Source organism: Homo sapiens, chromosome 15, assembly GCF_000001405.40.
Source record: "Homo sapiens chromosome 15, GRCh38.p14 Primary Assembly".
NCBI lineage: Eukaryota > Metazoa > Chordata > Mammalia > Primates > Hominidae > Homo > Homo sapiens.
The window spans coordinates 21,554,469-21,574,167 of NC_000015.10; the positions used below are offsets into that span (position 1 = coordinate 21,554,469).

At 37.4% G+C, this 19,699-nt stretch overlaps 1 long non-coding RNA gene across 2 annotated transcripts in view; it reads left to right on the forward strand.

The window, feature by feature from the left end:
* LINC02203 (long intergenic non-protein coding RNA 2203) overlaps positions 1–19,699 on the forward strand; it is an 87,749-nt gene that overhangs the window by 1,696 nt on the left and 66,354 nt on the right. Inside the window, exons 2-3 of one of the 2 annotated variants that reach the window (NR_015416.2) lie at positions 1,094–1,251; positions 9,905–10,013. This is a non-coding gene — a long non-coding RNA (long intergenic non-protein coding RNA 2203). Of the gene's footprint in view, positions 1–1,093; positions 1,252–2,370; positions 2,694–9,904; positions 10,014–19,699 lie in introns of those variants that run through there. The other variant, NR_152818.1, reaches the window with a different exon arrangement.

Below are 19,699 nucleotides of genomic sequence, written 5' to 3' on the forward strand. Positions count from 1 at the left end.
GGAAAATATTTAGAAAAAAATAAAAATAACAATATGACAAAAAATAATTCAAATATATAGTGTAACAACTATTTACATAGCATTTACATTGTCTTAGCTACTATAAGAAATGTAGACATTATTTAAACTACATGGAAGGATGTGTGTAAGTTATATGCAAATACTGCACCATTTTATATGAGGCGGTTGAGCATCTGCTGATTTTGTTGTCTCCAGGGTGAGCTGGAACTAGTCTCCCCTAGATATAAAGAGACAACTGAACAATATGTTATTATTAATTACAGTCACCATGCTATACAGTACATCTCCAGATCTTATTGATCTTGTTTAGCTGAGACTTTGAACTCTTTAACCAATATCTCCCCATCCCCACTGGGTGTAATTTTCAATAGCTAGTCAGGGAAGGCCTCACTGAGAAGGTGATATTTGAGAAAAGACTTGAAGGAAGTGTTGGGGCAAGAAATATAAATATCTAGCAAAAGAGCATTACAGGCAGAGGAGATGGTATGTGTAGGCGCCACAAGGCAGGGGGATGGCTGGCATGCTTAACACACAGCAAGAAAGCCTCATCTCTTCTTCATGCCTGCCTCACATTGAATATATTTAAATATGGTTCCCTCCCCATCATAACCCTGCAATGGCCATTGCAGAAATCACCAATAACATTCATGTGTCTAAGTCTTATGGACATTTTTTTTTCAAGATGTATCTCTTCTCAGCAGAATTCAGCACTGCTGTTCCAACACATTTTTTCCTTTGGCTTCAGTGTCAACTCTATTCTACTTTGCCTCCTGATTGCCCAGAAAACTCCCACATTTCTGGCTACAACTCCTCTATTTGATTTGTGGGCTTCTTTTCCTTTATTTGGCCATTAAATTCTGAAGCTCTGTGAGGCTGAGTTCCAGGCCTTCACATCTTTCAATGCTATACTATTGTCTAGGTCATTTTCTTCTCCAAAGCTTTGGTTATTACTTATTTGCCAATGAGTATATCAAATTGTTAATACAAATTGCATCCTCAGAGTTCCAGATGACAACTGCTACATGGTATTAATATTTGACTGCTGGATGATAGTTTTACTTGAATGTTTCAGGGGCACCTCAAACTCAACTCCAAAATTGATCTAATGAACTTTGCCAAACCACATTCCCTTCTTGCATTTCTGAGAGAATGGATTCCCATTCATCTGACTACAGTGCTACCCTGAAAGCAGATCCAGAGACTAAGATTCACCTGCAGGTGATTCATTTGGTAGGTATCAGAATCTCTGGTAGGAGAACTGGGAAGTGGGGCAAAGACCCTTATCAAGAGTGAACTATGAAGCAGTTACCAGAATGGATAACTGTGGATTAAACTTGGAATAACTCTGAGATCCAGTGTAGATAACTCATCTCAGAAACATGCTGAGAGATAAAGGGTATTCGTACAACAGTTTCTGATAGTCATTAGTTATGGACTGTCTCCTAGCGGCATTGATTCCTCAGCATGCCCAACCTGCAGCAGGGACAGCAAAAGCGGCTTCTGTGATCAGAGAAAGCCCTCAGGTAAGGAAATGCAGGGGTGAATGCTGGAAGTCAGGCTGGCATGCACTGAAGTATTAGGGTGAGGCGCCATGGCAAGGTATCTGACCATCTTTCTAACCGTTCACCTCCATTTCCAATCTTTAAATACATTTTACTTCCCAAATATGTAATAATATGCATTTCCTTCAATTTCTACCACCACCTCTACTGACTGCCTCCATCTTTTTCAAATATACTTGCCTCATTCAGCACATTCACATTGTGCAACCACCACCTCTTTTGAGCTCCAAAACACTGCCATCACCCCATAGAAAACCCCAGTCCTCTTCCCCTCCATCCATGGCCGCCACCTGGAGTGTGTTTGGCCCATGGAGGACACTGCACATTGTTGGTGGGCATGATTAAATAGTTGCTGCTTTTCTGCAGTTATCACTGTATTTTGAGTGAAAGTTTCATAATTTTCAGTGTTTTATCTGGGTTGATAGGATCCAATTTTAGTTCTTGAGTTTCTTTTTTGAGCAACTATAACAATTTTCAGGATTAACATGTCATGACATTTATTCTTTACTAGAGGTCTTCCAAAGAACAAAGATAAATTTACTTATTTTAAAAACAGAATAAAATTCATCCTGTCTTGCAAAAATACACAAAAATACAAAAACAAATATACTTGCCTCATAATTAGTTTCACATTTACCCTTGTCCTTCTCTAAACTCTTCACTACCGTGGCCACAGTTACTGTTTCAAAAAGGGAGATGAAATCATGTCATATTCTATTCTCTGTGCCTGAAATCCACTTTTCACCCTCATCTCCCTTTATTTAAAGTATGTTATTCATTTTTCTAGGGTCTCAACTCAAGCATTCCTTTCTCAAGAAGCCTTTTATGGTATGAAGAGTGAGACAGAGTTCCCTGCGCCACCTCCATTGAATCATGTTAGGCCTTAATGTACCTTTCCTTTATAACACTTACTGAATGATTAATTTGGCATTTATTTACCTGGCTATTTTATTCAGTGTTTAGGATTTATACTAGATTGTAAGCTCCTCAAGAGTGTTCCAGGTCTAGTTTAGGTCACCATGTATCCCTGATTAGTACCACACATCCCAGTGCACCATGGTTCTCAACAAATAACATGTTATATAAATCAATAAATGACAGGAACAAAGATGTTTTTCAATTTGTATTACAATGTTTTCTACTATCTGGCAGAATCTTAGTAGGATTTAATAGAAATCAGGCAATGTCTACTCCTTAACCTGACTTTGAGAGAGAAACACTGATTTTTAAGAATCACTCCCAATTCTGACTTTTTCTCATCATTATGTGGGTGAGGTAGAGATATTTCTGAGGCTTTTTTGTTCAGGAACTTGTCTCCTTGGACATTTTAACTAGGTCATCACTAGATCATTGCTACATGAAGTATGGTCTATTGACCAGCAACATCAGTGTCAGCTGGAGACTTTTAGAAATGCAGAATCTCCATTCTGACTGGTGTGAGATGATAGCTCATTGTGGTTTTGATTTGCATTTCTCTAATGACCAGTGACGATGAGCTTTTTTTTCATGTTTGTTGGCTGCATAAATGTCTTCTTTAAGAAGTGTCCATTCGCATCCTTTGCCCATTTTTTGATGGGGTTGTTTGTTTTTTTCTTGTAAATCTGTTTAAGTTTTTTGTAGATTCTGGATATTAGTCCTTTGTCAGATGGATAGATTGCAAAAATTTTCTCCCATTCTGTAGGTTGCCTGTTCACTCTGATGATAGTTTCTTTTGCTGTGCAGAAGCTCTTTAGTTTAATAAGATCCCATTTGTCTATTTTGACTTCTGTTGCCACTGCTTTTGGTGTTTTAGTCATGAAGTCTTTGCCCATGCCAATGTCCTGAATGGCATCGCCTAGGTTTTCTTTTAGGGTTTGTATGGGCTTAGGTCTTACACTTAAGTTTTTAATCTATCTTGAGTTAATTTTTGTGTAAGATGTAAGGAAGGGATCCAGTTTCAGCTTTCTGCATATGTGATCACTAAAAAGTCAGAAAACAACAGATGCTGGAGAGGATGTGGAGAAATAGGAATGCTTTTACACTGTTGGTGGGAGTGTAAATTAGTTCCACCATTGTGGAAGACAGTGTGGTGATTCCTCAAGGATCTAGAACTAGAAATACCATTTGACCCAGTGATCCCATTACTGGGTATACACCCAAAGGATTATACATCATTCTACTATAAAGACACATGCACAAGTATGTTTATTGCAGCACTGTTCAAAATAGCAAAGACTTGGAACTAAACCAAATGCCCATCAATGATAGACTGAATACAGAAAATGTGGCACATATACACCATGGAATACTATGCAGCCATAAAAAAGGATGAGTTCATGTCCTTTTCAGGGACATAGATGAGGCTGGAAACCATCATTCTCAGCAAACTAACACAAGAACAAAAAACCAAACACCGCATGTTGGCTCACTCATCAGTGGGAGTTGAACAATGAGAACACATGGACACATGGAGGGCAACATTGCACACTGGGGGCTTTTCAGGGGTGGGGGGCTAGGGGAGGGATAGCATTGGGAGAAATACCTAATGTAGATGATTGGTTGATGGGTGCAGCAAATCACCATGGCACGTGTATACCTATGTAACAAACCTGCACGTTCTGCACATGTATCCCAGAACCTAAAGTATATATATCTATAAAAAGAAATGCAGAATCTCATGCCCCTCTGACTCAATAAGCATTTAAAAAAGTCTGTCAGTATTTTGCATCACTTTGTTCCTCCAAGCCTTGGCCCAACACCTAGCACATAAGATGAAGTTTTGGGTGATGAATGAATATGCTAAAAAATAAGAGTGAAGGAATATATGAAAGGAGGGAAAGAACACCATGGGAAAGTGAAAATATATCATACTATGATATTTGAGTATTAGATCCTGACAATTTAGTTTCAACACTTTTGGTTTTGTATGATATGAGGAAATAGTGTTCACTTTGTCGGTATTAAGCTCATAGGTGTTAAAGCAAACTAAATATGGCCTGAGAAGGACTTGTACTTCCATATTTGAATCCTTGTGGATGAACTGTAACCTAGCTTAATAGGCAGACAAAATTGAAAACCTAACTTACGAGTATGCACCTGCAACAAATAGCTAAGTCTTAGCCAATCTCAGTGGCCATACTTCAATCATTAATACACTGATGAGGCAAATGCCAATCTGTAACCAATGCAGCTGTTCCTGTAACTCACTGCTGATTTCTGTATGTCATTTCCCTTTTGTTTGTCTATAAATTTACCACCACATGGCTGTGCTGGAGCCTCTGTGAATCTGCTGTGATTCTGGGGGCTGCCTGATTTGTGAATCATTCATTGCTCAATTCAACTCCTTTAAATTTAATTCAGCTGAAGTTTTTTCTTTTATCATATGTCTGGAAAAATCCTATAAGAGTAATGTAAACAGCATTTGCTTTCCAGGGTGGGATGCAGTTCCAGGAGAAAGGATACCATTCATTTCTTCTGAACGCCTTCAAGAGACATGTGAATGATAAATGTGCCTGATAACATCTCAGGCACGTTTGTGTTATGAGAGGAAACTAAGGAAAATCTGAAAGTTTCTTGGGTGTATAAATAGAGATGGCTGGAAGAAGATGGGGGAAAGTGAAAGCCATAACTGTTGAGAAAATTAAGCTTGTTGAAATATGCAAATTGGGTCTCGGCTCCATACACGGTGCTGATAGTTAGGACACTGAGACTGTCTCAAGAAGACAACCTTAAAGGCCTGAGAATCCAGTCTGTTTCCCTCTTCTAGGGCACCTCCTTCCCAGAAATGACACCATTAACACTTTTTAGCACTTATGTAAAGGTCTGGATCATTTGAAGTTACATGCCACTGTAGGACATTTTCTCTCTGAGTTGTTGGTAGACATTTAAACTGTAGAGAAAATTTTGCACAATTTAAGTAACTATTTAGAAAATGAAACAAAAAATGGACAAATATGAAAAATATAGAAAAATTATTAATGGCACAGTTCATTTACATCAAATTGTTACTAATACTTTGCTGCATTACTCCTATTTTTTCTACTTCGAATCATATTATGACTAATTTTGAATTCTACTTTTTATTCTATTTTTATCACTTTAATAGCCTATCTTAAGTCTTTACCCATATTTTGGGATAATCTTTAAAAATATTTACTTTAATACGGGGAAGCATTCTATCATGTACACATACTACAGTTCTTAACGATAATCTACTGGTGGATGTTTCATTTATTTACATATTCCATTCATTCTCCAGGGCTTATTTTTCAATGAGGAAGCTTGAAGAATTGAGATAGATAAGAGGAAATGTAAACGTACAAAGTAGAGTATGTCTGAGGGAGGAGTACGAAACCAAGAAGCTGAAACTCTTGTCACACTTTATTTATGTGATGATTTTAGAGCATTGGTCCTATTGGAAGGACACTGGCAGGGTCCCTAAAACAGCACATGCTGCACTGAAGAGAACCTTGTTTCTTAAATGAGCTCTAGGCAACAAGTACATTTCCTTAGAACATTTATAGAAAATATGAGATACAACGAATGTCTTCGTGTACCTATGTATTGTTTTTATCTTTAACGATTAGGTATGCCTATCACGCAATGTTTTTTACAGATTTTGCTGTCAAAGGCTCCTCAGTGGCTGCTTCAGCCAGCAGCTAGGACTTCAGGTCAAAGTCCTGTTATGCTGATGCAGCTTCATTTCCTGAAGCAAGATCACTCCCACTTCACTCTGATGGGAGAGTCTTCTTTCTTTACAACTATTAAGCTAAGATTTTTGAGTTAACATTTTAAAAATATATTTTTCCTTTTATTTTTAGTTGACATGTAATAATTATATTTATGAGATATAGAGTACTAGTCCAATACACATAGACAATATGGGGTGATCAAATCAAGGTAATTAGCACATCGCCTCATGCATTTAGCACTTCTTTGTCTTGTGAACATTCAAAATCCTCTCTTCTAGCTTTGTAAAAATACACAATAAATTATAGTTAACTATATTCACCTTACAGTACTACAGAAACATTTAAAACATTATTTCTTGAGATCTTGGTTCTTTAGGTGACTGTTGTGGTGGTGATTAATCAGTATCATGAAAATACTTCTGTTGTCTATCATGGTATTTCAGAAGACTACAGTTATAGAGCTGGGTGCATACAATTACCAACCACAATGATATGCATTTACATATTTCACCTTTTGACCTATTTCGTCATGAATATAGTTCATCTGTTTATAACTCTTATACTTGTGTGACTGTTGATAGAAGGCCTGAATGTTTATGCTTGCAAAAATGTATGTTATCGCTTATTTTATTGTGTAAGGTGATCTTTGAAGTGTTCTGCTGTGTTTTTATTTTTGTGTTTTTATATGTTACTCAAATAAATACCTTTTAAAAATGTAAATAAATATATCTTAAAGAATTTTTAAAACTATTTTTTCCAGAATTAAATTTTCAGGATTTCAGTCTTTTGGGATGGCGATTTTTGGAATTTTAGACTTTAAGGATTTTGTTCTTTTGATTTTCAACATTCGATTATGGTGTTTGGAACTGTGTCTTTCAAGATTGTGATTGATTCCAAATGCAACACAGGGTTAAAGGAAAGTGGAAAAGACATGAAAAAAATCTGAGCTGTGCCTTATCTGAAGCTGTTGTGTGAGAATTATAGAAACATGTAGAGAGTAGACATCTAAAGTTAGGTTTCTGTCTGCTGGAATACATGAGTCAACCTCATCTTCCTTGGTCTCCCATTTGAGAAAGTGTTCAGCAAAGAGGAACACAGTGGCGCTCACATCCAAAATTTCTTAGAAGGCCTTTAAAAGGGTCAGTGTTGGAAGGTAACATTATCAAGTATAGCAGTTATTTGGAGCCCACCCAATAACCATATTGTGGTTACAAGCAGATGTAAAGGGCACTGCAGTCTTTCCTGATTTAGGAAGCAACGATTACACCTGACTCTTTAGGAGAGTATGTAGCAGACACATTTTGAGCCATGGCTATCATACCCTGGACAGCTCCTCTTGGAGGAGTGGTGACTAAGAGCACGCTGTGTGTACACTCAGTCTTCACTGCTGACCTCCAGTCTCCACCTGCTTCATTTTTAAATAAATGTGCCAAGGTTTATTTTTGACCCTTCTGGATCATCCAACATTTCCAAGTGGACTCATCTAGGGATAACAGTGAGAAAGTTTTGGGAAGATCTCAAAAAGTGTTTCTTAACTGAGATCTTAATTGGTTCAGCCTTTAGGGAAAAAGGGAAAGATGATGAGGCCTGGGTCTAATCTGAATAATCAGTTGACCTTAAGCCTGAATCAGAATATCAAATATAATTGGAAGCCTTGATATATGTTTTTATACTAACATAGCTATGTTTTCCCACAAAATAGATGATACTGGATTTAGGACTGAAAATGTAAGAACAAGGGGTTCTATGAAGTCCAAGGATATAAAGACAGAAGTCAGTTATGGCAAAGAATTTACAAAATGCTTCAAAGGCTTATCTATCTCTTCCCTTCTTTCTACAATTCTGCACATGTGCCAGCCCCAAGGGTTCTGTACTTACGTTGAGATTTTTGGATCAATATCTGTTTTAGTGGTACTTAACTTTAAACTATTTGCCCACTTGTTTCATGAATTTGTCATTTTAGTTTCACTTAAGAAGTACATTGTCAAACTATAGTGAATTTGGCGAAGAACAACTAGAGGGGACTTAGAAGTACGGAAAATGAGTAACAGTAGAAGGAATTGGGATATTTAAATTGGAGAACAAAAAGTTTTATTGAAACAAATGAAAGGTAATTATTTAATAAAGCAAATGAATTTGTCCCATTTAATCTCTAAAGTACAGAATTACTATAATTCTATAGGGTGACACATTTTAATTCATCATGGAGACTTACTTTTTAACAGAGAAATATATGCAATGATGGAACGAGCTGAAGAACAATACTTTCTATCAGTTGCTTTTGTCAGATATAGGTTGGGAAAGTGGGAGAGGGTATCTAAGCATCAGATGCAAATTTCTTTCAATCTTGAAATTCCATGATACGATCTAAGATATTTCAAGAAAAAAACCATTCAGGTTGATTTCAACAACATAAAAAACTGTAATGGAAAATATTAAGGCTAATTAGAACGTGAAGTTTTATTAACATTGATAACAATAATAATATTTTCTAAGGAACACTAGTTGACAGCAGACAAAGGGAGGGGGGATGAAATACTGGACTTGTGGTCAGCAAAGTCCCAGGGTTATGCCACAGGACTACAAGTACTCCAACTCTATTAAGGAAGAAATTGCTAATTTTTTTTTTTCCCCTGAAGCAATGTGTGTGGAAGTCTTTCACTTTCTGAGCCAAAACTTGAGGAGCTGACCCTGAGGTGGCAGTTTTCCTGGGGGAGCTGCTTAGATAGCTTTTCATGCAGGGATAGTCCCTCAATGCATTACCTTTCAGAGGCTATGGCATCAGGCCTCTATCCAGAAGGGGAGGAGGACTAGAGAGCGCTCAGGGGAGAGGGCGATAAGAGAGAGATTTGCTTGTCTAGGTGATGTTGCTGAGTAGCCCAGTGTGGACTCTGTGTCAGAGAGCTCCAAAGTACAGCAGCAACTTGGGGTCTTTACAGCCCCAGAATTTATCTTATCTATGGCATTTGAGTTAACAGGATTCAGCTTACTGTAAAGAAGTAAACACCCTAGGGGGCTATATAAAGAAGCCCTCTTTGGCCCATTTGTCTAACAGATGGTCTCTGAAATTGTTTGCAGTGACTTTTTACCTTTTTTTTTTTTTGCTGTGTTTTTCCAGATTTAGACATTTATACTTTCTCTCAAGCTCATGTCATGCCAACAAAAAGTAGAGAATTAAACTAATTAGTCTACACTAAGGTTTCCATTTACAAAAGAGAATTTATTTTAATATTATGAAAACAACATGTGCTTATTTTAGAAAAAAATAATAACACAGGAAAGTATAGGAAGTTTAAATCATCCACAATACCATTTCTAAGACCATTTCTAGCCTCCTCTGTTTCTCTGTATTTCGTATATTAGATATCTATGTAATTATTTTCAAAATTGGAATCGTAGTGCATGCAGTTTTGTTAATACTTTTGTTTAATATATCATGTGTCTTTCCCCATAGCACTATGTGTTCTTTGAAACATGATTCTTAATGAGAACATTATAGTCCATTTTTATCAATGTACTTTATCCTTCTGTTTGGGGGCACTTATAATTTTATGCAAAATCTCTGTAAATTTGTGAAAATATTCTCAGAAATAGATAACGTGTGTGTATTTTTAAGATGTTTACCTCGTTTTTGCCCATTTAACTCCGTAGCAAGGTAAGCTGTCATCAGTTGGAGGTAAGCGGAAGACAGTAGAGAGTACAGAGCCCTGGACTGTGACTCAGAGGATGAGCACCAGATCCAGTTTGCTGTGCCACAGTGGTAAGTCACCTAATCTTTATGTGCTTGGATTCCTCATATGTAATACAGGATCACAACTATTGTTCTCACTCATGCAATACTACTATTGTGAGAACCTCATGAATTAGAGAAACTCTGAATTTGCAATTTAGCTTTAGAACACTGACAAGTAGCTCATTGATTCTTGCCTCATTCCTCTGGAATAAAGTAGCTTTTTATCAAACAAGTGAACACATTGCTTTCAGTGGAGGCAGAAGGAATTCATTTTGAAAAATGCACATAGCATTCTCCAACCCATTTTTGCATATTCTTTTTTAAGGGAATGCCTTGTGTGAGAGGACTAGCAGGGTATCAGAACTGTTTTTTGAAAGAACTTTGTTTGCAGGTGCTTTCAAATATGTTGTCTTCAACTATCATTTTCAGTGTAAAAAGCGGGCTTGGAGTAAGCACTGCCTGCAGACCACTTTTGTGAGCCCTCCCTTCAGTGATGTGATGGCAATCCAGGCCCCTGCTGGGAGAGATTTCTGCCTGGTTAAACCTCTCACAGCTTCTAATCCTCTCTTTCTCATCTGGCTTTCCTTAGCCTTCTCCAAAGTCACTCACAGAAGGCATCCCACTCAACCTCACCTTGGGGTAAATCAAAATAGTCCTCCTTCTGAAGCTACCGGGTAAAGCGGTGGTAGCTGTGCAGCTGCTGCTGATCAACAGGCTCCAGAAACAGCAGCAGGAGGTGAGCAGTCCCTGCGTTGGCCACCAAGTGGTAGGTGGCCAGCCCTACCTCCAAGTTGCACTGTTTACTTATTCATCTTTCATGGTAAAGCCTCCAGTTGCCTATTATGAAATCAGCAATAATCATGTGTCCCCTATCTGGGTCCCTGAAAAGATGGAAAGAGGCAGATCAGGCTGGTGCTCCGAGAATGACAGACATCAAACAAGAATGAAAAGTGTCACCCTCCTTGGACTTATTCAGTAACTCATGCCCTTGAGCAAAGGAGGATTTTCTATCAAAGGACATGGATTTCTGTGTCTTTCTCTTGAGATAACATTGCTGGGTGACCACAGAAAGCTGGCTCTGGAAGCACAGAAGCTGCCTTTCCTTGAGTAATAATGTCTCTTCAAAGGGAGCTGGAGCATGAGTAGTGTACATGCCTCAGATTTCAGTGAAAAGTTCAGAGGAGGCCTGAGAAGGTCCTGGGAATGAATCATCTAGATGACTCAACCTTGCAAAGCCATCCACCTCATTGTGGATATCATTCAATACATTTGGTGCTCCATCATCCTATTTCCATGGCTATTTCCTCACATTTTTCAAAGTCTGTTTCTTGAGCCCTGACTGTGTCAAATAGCATGCCCTGTTATTCTTGGGCTTCCCTCTCTATTCTAGCATTCAGGGAGATTTCAGAGGCTGGGGTAAATCTCAGACCAAGAAGACGCAATGGTTTTGAGGTAGAGATCCTAGGAATATAGAATTCTGAGCTATGCAGTGGTCCTTTGCTTTCAGGAAATCAAGTTTGATAGTATCACCTGAAGCATACTTACATTATCCACAAATGACAGCTCCTTACTTGAGCAGTTAAATTGTGGCAAGTCTTAACACACAGATTCCTCTTAAATGCCACCTAATCCCTGCCTGGCTTCAAGCCTCTGGCTTCCCTTGGAGAGGGGCAGAGTCTCTCTGTGTGAGAGATTCTTCATTTCTGCTTTCTGCCCTGTCAGTTTCTACTTACTTGCTCTTCCACCTTGTCCACAAGGCTTATCTAGCGGCTGTTTACCTCTGAGCAGAGAAAATGGAAGTCAGCAGAGACAAGGTTGAAATTTCTCAGGAAGGATTTTTTTTTCCACTTTATCGTGCAGCAAGAGTAAAGCCTTTTTTTCGGTGATTCTTTCCTCCACAATGGCCATTGGCTGCCCTCTGTCACACACAGGTGTGACTCCCTTGTTATTAACTGTCAGGTGGGAATTTCTAGGGAAGAAGGAGAGTGCTTTGTTAACCTCTTAACATCTCCCCAAATTGCATCATATTCTCTCCCTTTCCCCTCCCAGCTACCTTTTCTATTTTTGATTTCCTCTTTTTCAGTCTGATTTGGGGATTTCAGTTCCCACTAACTTTGTATAATATCCTCCTATCTCTGAAAGAACAAGTTCCATCTCCATTTTCCAGGAGAGTTTTTTTCCTTGCAGTAAGAGCACCCCATCATCTCTCCATTTCTACCTCCCCATCCCAGTGCTCCCTTTATGGCAGTACAATTGAAGAGGGACCCACAGTCTTGCTGAAGGAACATGACCTTCCTACTGAAGTTGGGATTACGGAATAGAGGGAGAAGAGGAAAGATGGATGTTTATCTGAATGGTCGGATCTTGTTTTCCAGAGGACACAGGCCAATGGGAAACTTTTGGGAAGGAAGTCAAAAAATCAAAGCCAGAACAGGGTTTTGGTAATTTAATCTCCCAAAGAGAGAAAAGTCCCCATACTCTAATTCATATTTTGTTTGACTTGACTGAAGCCCTTTTGAATATTTTTTCTGCTTCTGTTCTGTTCTTGCAATAACAATGACATAAGTTTGCCTTTGGAGACATTAAAATAGTTTTCTCATCTCTTGTTCCAAGCATTTATTTTATTTTATTTTTTTGGCGTATTTATTTATTTATTTATTATTACAGTACTTTTAAGTTTTAGGGTACATGTGCACAATGTGCAGGTTAGTTACATATCTATACATGTGCCATGCTGGTGCGCTGCACCCACTAACTCGTCATCTAGCATTAGGTATATCTCCCAATGCTATCCCTCCCCGCTCCCCCAACCCACAACAGTCCCCCGAGTGTGATGTTCCCCTTCCTGTGTCCATTTGTTCTCATTGTTCTCACCTATGAGTGAAAATATGTGGTGTTTGGTTTTTTGTTCTTGCAATAGTTTACTGAGAATGATGATTTCCAATTTCATCCATGTCCCTACAAAGGACATCAAGTCATCATTTTTTATGGCTGCATAGTATTCCATGGTGTATATGTGCCACATTTTCTTAATCCAGTCTATCATTGTTGGACATTTGGGTTGGTTCCAAGTCTTTGCTATTGTGAATAATGCCGCAATAAACATACGTGTGTGTGTGTCTTTATAGCAGCATGATTTATAGTCCTTTGGGTATATACCCGGTAATGGGATGGCGGGTCAAATGGTATTTCTAGTTCTAGATCCCTGAGGAATCGCCACACTGACTTCCACAATGGTTGAACTAGTTTACAGTCCCACCAACAGTGTAAAAGTGTTCCTATTTCTCCATATCCTCTCCAGCACCTGTTGTTTCCTGACTTTTTAATGATTGCCATTCTAACTGGTATGAGATGGTATCTCATTGTGGTTTTGATTTGCATTTCTCTGATGGCCAGTGATGGTGAGCATTTTTTCATGTGTTTTTTGGCTGCATAAATGTCTTCTTTTGAGAAGTGTCTATTCATGTCCTTCGCCCACTTTTTGATGGGGTTGTTAGTTTTTTTCTTGTAAATTTGTTTGAGTTCATTGTAGATTCTGGATATTAGCCCTTTGTCAGATGAGTAGGTTGTGAAAATTTTCTCCCATTTTGTATGTTGCCTGTTCACTCTGATGGTAGTTTCTTTTGCTGTGCAGAAGCTCTTTAGTTTAATTAGATCCCATTTGTCAATTTTGTCTTTTGTTGCCATTGCTTTTGGTGTTTTAGACATGAAGTCCTTGCCCATGCCTATGTCCTGAATGGTAATGCCTAGGTTTTCTTCTAGGGTTTTTATGGTTTTAGGTCTAACGTTTAAGTCTTTAATCCATCTTGAATTGATTTTTGTATAAGGTGTAAGGAAGGGATCCAGTTTCAGCTTTCTACATATGGCTAGCCAGTTTTCCCAGCACCATTCCAAGCATTTATTTTTCAAGCACCGTATGTGGGCCTTTTGTTCTGTGGAGAATAGGGGAAATAAATTTAAATTTATTTTTTTCCATAGACATTTGCAAGAGTTTTTGTAGTGTCTTTTTTTTTTTTTGGCTTATCAACATTTTTGTTTTTTAAAAACTTTTCTATCCACCAACTCTTTTCCTGTCTCTTTTGCAGTTCATTTGGGTATAAAGTTTTGCTTAAGAGGTGTATCAACCTCCTAGAGTGAGGCTTTTGAGAAGAGGGGCTACTTCTAAACTTCTATCACTTATGTCCATTTTCTTAATTTTATACCCAATACATGTGTGGCAAAGTTTGTTAGCTACATATTTAACACCCAATTTTATTATCTTCCTAACTAATACAACCTCAATTTTATTCAATTTGAGAATGTGCCCAGTTTAAAAAATTAGATGTTGCAGTCTCTTCTGTTTATGGTGATTATCATTTGACATGCTTATGTTCCGATATATAAACGGAATATAGTTTTGCCACTGTCTGACACTTCAGCAGCCATCTTCAGGTAATAAGGTGAACTTAAGGAAAGAAACACATACTACAAAAGATTTGTCAAAAAGGCAGGGAAGCCTAGGTCCCTGATGATATCTTGGCACTGCCCACCTCTGGACTGCAGTGGACTGATTATCTTTAGAAGCACGCATGAGAGAAGAAAACTAAACCTTTATGTTGCATAAATTACTGTAGCTTGAGTTTCTATTATATGCAGCTGAATCTAAGTCTACTATGTGCAGCAAATTTGAGTCCCTGGATAGATCTTGAGTTTCCAACACTTAAGTAAAATGTGGAGTAATTGAATTACTTAATAAAAAGTAATAATTATTTATTCCAACCATAGATACTTTGCTTCGTTGGCCATAGTTGAATTATTATCTTTTAAAAATGGTTCTGTTTTTATTAAGATGACTAGTAGTATATACTTTTGATAGATAAATGGCTTATGTTCTTTAAAAGAGATGAGTGCCCAGTTTGCTCATAATAAAAACTCAGAAGAGATAAACGTTTAAAATATGTTCTTATAATAAACACAGATAAATAAAAGGTAGGTATCCATGGTGTACATGTGCCACATTTTCTTAATCCAGTCTATCTTTATTGGCCATTTGGGTTGGTTCCAAGTCTTTGCTATTGTGAATAGTGCTGCAGTAAACATACATGTGCATGTGTCTTTATAGCAGCATGATTTATAATCCTTTGAGTATATACCCAGTAATGCGATGGCTGGGTCAAATGGTAATTCTAGTTCTAGATCCCTGAGGAATCGCCACACTGACTTCCACAATGATTCAACTAGTTTACAGTCCCACCAACAGTGTAAAAGTGTTCCCATTTCTCCACATCCTCTCCAGCACCTGTTGTTTCCTGACTTTTTAATGATCACCATTCTAACTGGTGTGAGATGGTATCTCATTGTGGCTTTGATTTGCATTTCTCTGATGGCCAGTGATGATGAGCATGTTTTCATGTTTCTTTTGGCTGCATAAATGTCTTCTTTTGAGAAGTGTCTGTTCATATCCTTTGCCCACTTTTTGATGGGGTTGTTAGTTTTTTTCTTGTAAATTTGTTTGAGTTCATGTGGCACATATACACCATGGAATACTATGCAGCCATAAAAAATGATGAGTTCATGTCCTTTGTAGAGACATGGATGAAGCTGGAAACCATCATTCTCAGCAAACTATCGCAAGGACAAAAAACCAAACACCGCATGTTCTCACTCATAGGTGGGAATTGAACAATGAGAACACATGGACACAGGAAGGGGAACATCACACACCGGGGCCTGTTGTGGGGTGGGGGGAGGGGGGAGGGATAGCATTAGGAGATATACCTAATGCTAAATGACAAGTTAATGGGTGCAGCACACCAACATGGCACATGTATACATATGGAACACACCTGCAGGTTGTGCACATGTACCCTAAAACAAAGTATAATAAAAAAAAGGTAGGTATCAAAAACATAACAATTCAAACCCTCTTTTAATTAAAGTTGGTTCTTGTATTAGTAGTAAGCAGGGAGCTTGGGGGGAGAGATGTGTACAAGTGTAGATGGGAGGTTCCCAGGTAAAGTTCTTGATTGGGAAGGTTCATTTGATTGTATGACATGTTCCTCCATTCTCTCTGTCTCTGTCTCTGTCTTTTGTTTTTGTTGTTGTTGTTGCTCTAAGCATCTAGAATGAAAACCACAAGGCCAGGGTTTGCTATCAAGGACCACTCTTTCCTTTGCAGAAAAAGCTGGTTCTGAGTGAAATAGAAGGACTAGGGTGCCAAATTAACTCCTCTCCACAAAGTGACCCCACATGGAAAAGTACTTGAGAAGCTCTGTAAAGACATGGTAAAAGCTTACCAAAGACAGTAGCATTATCCTTTCCCTTACACACAAAGTGGAGGGGAAGTGTGGGTAAGTGGTGTGTCTAAAAGCATTGCTTTAAATTATGCATCCATTTGTAAACACTAATTTTTTGTTAACTCCATGTTGTTTGTAAATTGAACAAAAAATGCATATTTGTCATGGAAAAATTAGGAAATAAAGATATTAGCATAAAAGAGGAAACAACGAATCTTAATTACCCATAATCCCATGACTTCATGTTTGTGTAAGATTATATAATACTATTGTTTCATGATCTGCCATTTTCACTCAGTGACATATTTTGCACATGAAATACGTTTTACATAAATATTTGTATAATTTGACTAGTTATTACCTTAAAACTACTGGAAAGAAATCCCTTAGTTCTTCTACTTCACTCATTTCTTCTCTACAGTATTCATTTCTGGGGTAAATCCAGCTCTTTGGCTTGCATGGCCATGTAGTTCTGAAGTTAGCTACACAGGACTTAGCCACATTTCCCAGAATAGGATGTATGGTACAGCAGAATTCTTACTGAACTTGAAGTCAGAAGAACTGGTTCCTTCACTTACTATGGGTGACCTTGGACAGTATACTTGATTTCTTTGAATCTCATCAGTGAAATGAGTATGGGAATGTCTACCTTAACTGTGTGATGACAGAATTTGTGAGGATGAACTGAACAACTATATAAAAGTGTTTGGGAAATGCTGAAGAGCCCTACAAATGAAAGACATTAATAATATTAACTGAAATAGATTCCATAAATACTATGTGTAAGATCCTACCTTGATTTACCGCATTTAATCATCAAATCCACTGTCTGACAAAAGTATTATCATTAGTTCTATTTTATAGTCTAAACAAATCTAGGCAGAAAGGTCAAATAATTTGCATAAGCTCACACAATCAGTGACTTAGATTTGATCCAATCTATTTCGTTCGATAGTGTTGGTCTTTTCCCCTAATAGTAGTAAAAACTGTGGGCTCCATTGTTAGCCTGCCTGAGATCAGATGCCATCTCCAACTAGGCAAGTTACCTTTTCTGCCTGTTTCACTCTTCAAAAATTAGAGATACAATAATACCAACCCAATTTCTTTGGGTTTCATAAGTAGGAAATAAAATAATACATAGAAAAGACTTGGAACATTGCCTGACACAAAATAGGTGTCTTAAAACGTTAATTATTATTATTTTCAATGTTGCCAAGACAGCGAACCCTGTGGTGGTGAATTTGCATGTGAAAACCTGTTAAACTGATACACACTCTTTCTTTTCTCCTAATATTGTCGCACTTGCACCTTATGTCCTAAGTTTTCTAGTAATCTTGAATGTACATAATGTTTAGTTGTGAAATAAATTTTGCTTTGTGAGGGAATTAGTTGTAATTGAGGGTAGAATCAAAGTTTGTTCAGCGAATTCCATCTATTCAGTTGTAAAGGCAGCGAATAAACACCATGACTTGTATTTGAAAGTAGAAAATACCGACTTTCAATTGTCATTTCCCCCGAGGAAATTCCATTAACCAGCACAATTGTTTTTAAATATCAACCTGAAATAACACTGTATTTTTACTGCTATTCTTTCTCCCTCCTTCTCTCTCTTTGGGATACAGTTTGGCTTTGAAAAAATATGGTATATATGCGGTGTTTGGTCAAATAATTTAGCACTATGGAAAAGGTTGTGAACCAGTCATAGTATTTGAGGTTGTAAGAAGAAACCTTTGAAAAGGTAGTGGCTGCACAAATGTATTAACTTAGTACCACAAAGTAGGGAGTTCTGAAACTGTGGTGGAAATATTGCCTGCCTTGACTACCTGTTCTTCCTGAGTCCATTTGCTGATCAGAACTCAGGTAACTTAAAAGTCATATACCCTGGAAAGGAGTATGGAAACAGGAAAGATCCTCAGCGGCTATACAAGTGAGAGATATGGCAGAGTTCTAATAAGATTGACTAAAAGCTTGATACTGTCTTACATCCAAGGAGCAAATAATTGTTCTACCTGGAATGTCCAGGCCCCAATTCACAAATGCATTCCTACCTTTTGAACTGAATAATGATCTCTTTCCCAATAAACTGTTATAAGACAAAAAATCTGAAAGGAAAATTGTTGCACATACATCATATTCTTATATTCTGTATTTTCTGGGACAGTCTGTTTCAGATTAGATGATGAGTCCTAATTCAGGTTTGCAAAATATTATCAAGGCAAATCTTTATGGAGATTTTATTGAGATATTATTTTATAACAAAAAATGGGATAACTGTAATGTTCATCAAAAAAATTGGTGGTAGAAGGAAGGAAGGTGTTGGAGTGTTCAGTAACCTTACCCCAGAATGCCACAGTACAAATTCTGTGAGAAGTCATTCTTGTGTAGTAGAGGCATTCATTTTTCTCCTAATATCCCTTCTGAAAATTCCCTTTTACTAGTCAGCTCTTAGCTTCTTGGAAAGAAGGCCCTTCGTCTAGGACAATGTTCATCTCCCCACATAAAAATTCACAATTCATGGCATGTTAGTTCAATAAAATATTATGCTTTCTAAGAATGATAATTATGAAAACTTGCTATAAATGGGAGCAAGTTCAACATTAAATCACATGAAACAGACATATTAACAAAAATAGATACATTAGAGCAATTGAACTATAAATGCTTTTTTCCTTTAAAAATTTTCCTTCATGTTATTTTCACATTCTTTTAGCAACAAATGACAATGAACTGCCATTGATTTTATTTTTTGAACTTAAGCAGTGTATCCACAAGTACACCATTGCCCTGTCCAATTTTTAGGGGGAGATATTCTATTATCTAAAACTCAATAAATTGACCCATCACGTTTTTGGTGATACCTTATTTAGGTAAAAATATTAGGCATTTAGAAGAATGCATTTGTGAATATTTTGACTGATATTACTATAGATGGAATTAGAATCTGCCCTTTAGGGGCTCAGAAGGAAGTAATGTTTGGATGTCATTAGGCTAGAATATTTTATTGTCCCACAAAAATGTTGATAAATTGCTTATAAGGGCTTATTTATTAGAAATGACCATGTCACCAAATAATAAAGCCAAATATGATAGGAATCACAATCAGAAAATATGTTTTTTCTTCTTTTATTTACAACCAACCAAACAAAATAACATAGCTGTAATTTTGTCAATGTCAGAACAATAAATTTAAGTCAAATAGAACTTAAAGAATTTTTATCACAGATGAATCAGATGGAAACTATCCAGAAAACACCCAAATATGTACATTCCTCAGTTAATACTCAGTCTAGGTGCCAAAGGGAAGCCACACGCTTCCATTTATCTATATAATTTGGCAACTTTAATTTGTAAGGGGCCCAACAGGTGTTTAATTTCATAGGCTGATATAGTCAATATCACTAGATCCATATTTTTTAGATTTAAATAACTATATAATTC